Raw genomic sequence first — 4,514 nt, 5'->3', positions numbered from 1 at the left:
GGCAAGAATCCTCCGAGGGTTTAGAAGACTCCTTTGCCCATTGTGATGGGTGAGTTCCCATTCCATGACAACAATGGGCACCCGCACCTTCCCCTCCTGGAAGAGGCTGAGAAGTAAAGATCAGGAACAAGGAGGAGGAGGAGCTTCCCAGACGTGTAGAGCTTATGAAGTTTAGGAAGCAGCTTCCCAGACATGTAGAGCTTATGGAGAGGTGAGGGAGCCAATCTCAGCCACATTCAGCTTCCTGGAGAGAATGACCAAAGGGCGACGCTTCAACCCACCTTCAGACAAGGATGGGAGATGGGTAAGGAAGATGGTGGCCCCTGGTGCCTTTCTCATGCCACGTGGGTGTGGTCAACAGTCTGAGGAGTTCCAATCCTGCTTCTACTATTACTGAAGCATGACCTTTGACAAATCACTTCACTTTACTCAACCTCAGTTTCTTCATCTGTGACATGGGAATCCTCTAACACTCTTGCAAAGATTGAATGAAATAATGCATGTAAAATGCTCAGCACACTGGAACCTCGTGAATGTCCACTAAGCAGTCATTCCTGCTCTACTTTTTCTTTCTTCCTTAACATCTATTTTCTAACATACTACAGAACTTATTCTCTTATCTATGTTATTTTTCTCCCCTTGCTAGAATATAAGCTCCATGGAGCTGGGATTTTTGTCTATTTTATTCACTGATGTATCCCCAGTGCCTAGAACAGGATCTGGAGCATAGAAGGCACTCAATACATATGTGTTGAAGTAATTATATTATACTAGAAACCTCTAAACAAATTCTTGTTGGCTCCCAATCCAATTCCTTTAGCCCCTCCGGCCTATGAAATGAGAAGAGTCCAGGAATGCATCATTTACTCATCTTCATCACTTGAAAACTTTCCCTTTCCAGCTTCACGCTCTCCCCCAACTCTTGCTCTTCTGATGTCACTTACAGAGCCTGTGGGATTTTTCACTCTTCTACCATCTTCAGGAAACATTTGGGTCACTCCTAAGTGTGAGGTCTTAGCCTTGTCGGCCAAGCACTTCTCTCCTTTGCTCTTCAACATGTATATTTCATGGCCGACAAGCCTCAAGCCTTTCCCATTTCTGATTTCTACAATTCATTCACAAAAAGAATGTTAAGGGGAAATCACAGCAGTAGACTCGCAATGAGAAACATAATCAGAGAAAAACCTGACGTCGACTTCTTTTAGGGTAGCAACAGGTAAAAAATTGTTAAAATTTTAATTTGTTTCAAAGAAAAACAGAAAACACTTCAGCAAATTTGGGTCTGAAGGCTTTAAAAAACTGATCTACCCACTTGGATACAACCTTGGCTAAGCAGCTTAGTCTTTCTAAGTCTCAGTTTCTTTGTCTGTAAAATGGGAGCATAATGTACCAAGGGTAGAAGACCATGGTGGGGGATTCACGACTCATTAACAAGTGCTCAGTACAATGAGTGAGCACATAGAAACCACTTAACATATATACACTTTGTATGTATGTGTACATATACGTGTATACACACAAATGTATACCTTGTTTCATTCCACAAAAATTTAAAGCATGGAAAATGTACACAATAAAATAATACAGTATAAATCAAATAGAAAGTTATAACTAGTTTTATAAATACTTTAGAAAGAGAAGAGGCTGAGTCTGAGAACACATATAACATAGACATAATATTAGGTATATTTCCAGGATTATATGGTAGATATTTGGGCACCACATTTGACTCTGAGTTCCCTGGCAGCCAAAGTAAAATGAGAGATAATGTCAACTCCATAAAGCTAAGTTCCCATGAAAAGAAAAATGTAAGTTGCTCAGATTAAGTAGCTTTCCCTCTAGCTATTACCTATGTATCAGTTACAATTGTTAGCCTGAATTTTATAGAAGGCTGACTAAAGTGACTACAGTGTCTTAACCAAATAGGGATTTATATTTCTTAAGTAACAATGAAACCTAGAAGTTGGCCATCCCAGGCTAGTACAGCTGCTCAAGGGAGTCATCAGCAGCTCCCTTTTCAGCATTCTGTTTTGCCATCCTTAGTGTGGGATGACTCCAGCTCCAAACAGTGAATCCACAACTCAGGCAGGGAAATAAGAGGAAGGTCAAAGGACAAAAAGATGGAAGGCGCCTGTCACCTAAGTCTGCCCCTTTTTATCAGGAAAACAATACTTTCCTGCCTTCCCTGGAGCCTGCTCCCTAGACCTCTGCTTCCATCTCACTGTGTCACATGGCCAATTTAGCTAAAAGGGTGTCTGAGGAGGTGTTTTTTTTAACCAACCACATGGCTGCTGTGAATGAAGAACCTGAATTCTGTGGTAAGGGGGAAAGCGAGAATCAACATTTCATAGGAAGAAATTTTATTTTATCCTTCTATCAAGACCCCAGAAACGTAGCCCAGTCCCTGGGTTTTAGGGAGAAAGGCACTGTTCCCCAAAGCTTGGCTTGGGCCTTTGGCAAAAATCCTTTCTGCTGTCAGCACCTAAGAGCATAAAAAGAATAGTGCTGATCATGAAGTTTCCCAAAGTAACTTGTAGACGAGGAGGGAAAAATTAAAGAAATTATTGGCTTTGAGTCAGCTGCAGCCCATTTGGGAGGACCGTAATTGCCACATTAGAGGTGACAGTCATTTTGCAGTTGACCTTGCTGGTTGCAATCTAGCTATTGCCAGGTAGGAAAGACTTTTTCCACACACTTGCCCCTTCCTATTTAATATTTCAGTCATTGAGTGACTGAACGAAGCAAAAATTTCACCGCCAACTTGTTAAAAAGCTGTATTTCACGGTTACAATATCTAACAGAAGGGTTTATTTCACAGCTATCATGTTATAGCCATTAAATATATATTTTAAAAGAGCGAAATTAAAACGCTAGAGCCATTTTTTACAGTGATTTAGTCTACAGACCTGCTGAATACAAATGAACCCAACTCAGTTGTCATTTAACTGGTGAGAGACATCATTCTTGATGTTAGAACAGCCTCCCCCAACCCCCAGCCTGATTTTCCACAACTTCCGAGAGGGAAGTGTTGACTCAGTCAGACTGGAGGAAGGGTGAAGGAAAAGGTTCAGAACCCGAAGACCCTTTGTATTATTTATATTTACCTCTAAAAATATTTCTTTGGAAAACATTTTAAAAATAGAAGATAGAATGAATGAGAAAGATATAGGTTGACTTTGAACACATTTCTAGAATATATTAAGAGAGGAAAGCAAGGTGCAAAGCAGTATGTATGATATAATCTGATTTTTGTAAAGCAGTGTAAGTCTTCTCACAGGCATAGGTGTTTGTATGTGATCATATGAGTGCTTGGTTGCTAATATTGTTATCTGGGGTTGGGGAGTGCGACAGGAAGCAGAGAAGAAAGCAACCCAAAGCTACCGTAAAATAATAAGGCAGAGGAGGGGCGTCAAGATGGCTGACTAGAAGCATTGCGTGCCCGCCTATCCCACTTAGAAGAACCAAAATAGTGTACAGGCAGTCACACTTCAAATATGTTATCCAAGAGAGAACGCTGGAATTCAACAGAGAAGTGACAGGAAACACCGTACGTGGGGAAAGAGAAAGGAAAAAGGCAGCCTGCCTGGCCGGGATCGGCTGGGAGCCAGGAGTGACTTCCCAACATGGGGAAAGGGTAAGTGAGTAAGTGAGAGACTTCCGGCAGCCCACATGCCCACTGTAGAAATGTGTAACTCTGGCCATGGAGAACTTCTCGACCCTTCTCTCCCTGAAACTAACAGAGAGAGTCTCCCGGAAACTGTGGGATGGAACTCCTCTAGGGAGGAAGGTCATGCTGGGTTCCTTTCTGAGACCCAGGCTGCTATAGCAAGGTGCCATTTTCAAATCTATCTTTTGACAGACTGCACGCTCTCCTGGGCCCCAGAAGCATCTGGACTGAGGCATTATGGAAACTTGGGCTGTTGCTACTGGGACTGAGGAGTGAGCTGAGAGCACTTCCACAGTTGAGGCTAAGAAGCAACTGAGGCACGGGCTGCAGCTGCAGCTGCTGGTGCTGGGTAGTGAGCACTGCCAGGAGACTGGGGTGTGAGCGAGGCACAAATTGACACTGGAACTAAGTTGTCAGCTTGGCGGGGGCGGGGGGGGTGCTCCTGTAGCCAGAGCCAAGGGGAGCAAGCTAGACATGGGCTACTGCTGCCAAGGTTGGAGGGCAAACCCTGGCAGGACTGGAGCATGAGAGGGATGTGTGTTCCCCATGCACCAGCCCAGACTGTGGCCACCAAAGACAACCCCTCCCTCCAGTGACAGGGCCTCAGCACAGCTGCTACCACCTCTCAGCTGAGCACTCCACCTGGGGCCTGCTCCTGCTCACGATGGCTGGTGCCTGCTGTCATATTTTGGGGGCCTGAGCGCAAGCCCACCCAGCCGGGCTTTGCCTCCTCTTCCATGACAGAACACAGAGCCTCACGTCCTTGAGCTTGCCCAACCCATCTACCACCTTGAGTACACTCCTCCCAGGGAACTCAGATTGGGCCTAAACTCCTGGCCACTACCAT

At 44.4% G+C, this 4,514-nt stretch overlaps 1 protein-coding gene across 3 annotated transcripts in view; it reads left to right on the top strand.

Moving 5' to 3' along the window:
* The first annotated feature begins 79 nt into the window (after positions 1 to 79).
* TEX36 (testis expressed 36) overlaps positions 80 to 4,514 on the top strand; it is a 106,642-nt gene continuing 102,207 nt past the window's right edge. For all 3 annotated transcript variants that reach the window (NM_001318133.2, XM_005269817.5, NM_001128202.3), the window contains exon 1: positions 80 to 304. In NM_001318133.2, coding sequence (NP_001305062.1) covers positions 254 to 304 — 51 coding nt within the window. In that variant the 5' untranslated portion in view covers positions 80 to 253. The remainder of the gene's footprint in view (positions 305 to 4,514) is intronic.

Source organism: Homo sapiens, chromosome 10 (assembly GCF_000001405.40).
Source record: "Homo sapiens chromosome 10, GRCh38.p14 Primary Assembly".
In the NCBI taxonomy this organism is placed as follows: Eukaryota; Metazoa; Chordata; class Mammalia; order Primates; family Hominidae; genus Homo; species Homo sapiens.
This window is presented reverse-complemented; position numbering and strand designations above follow the sequence as displayed.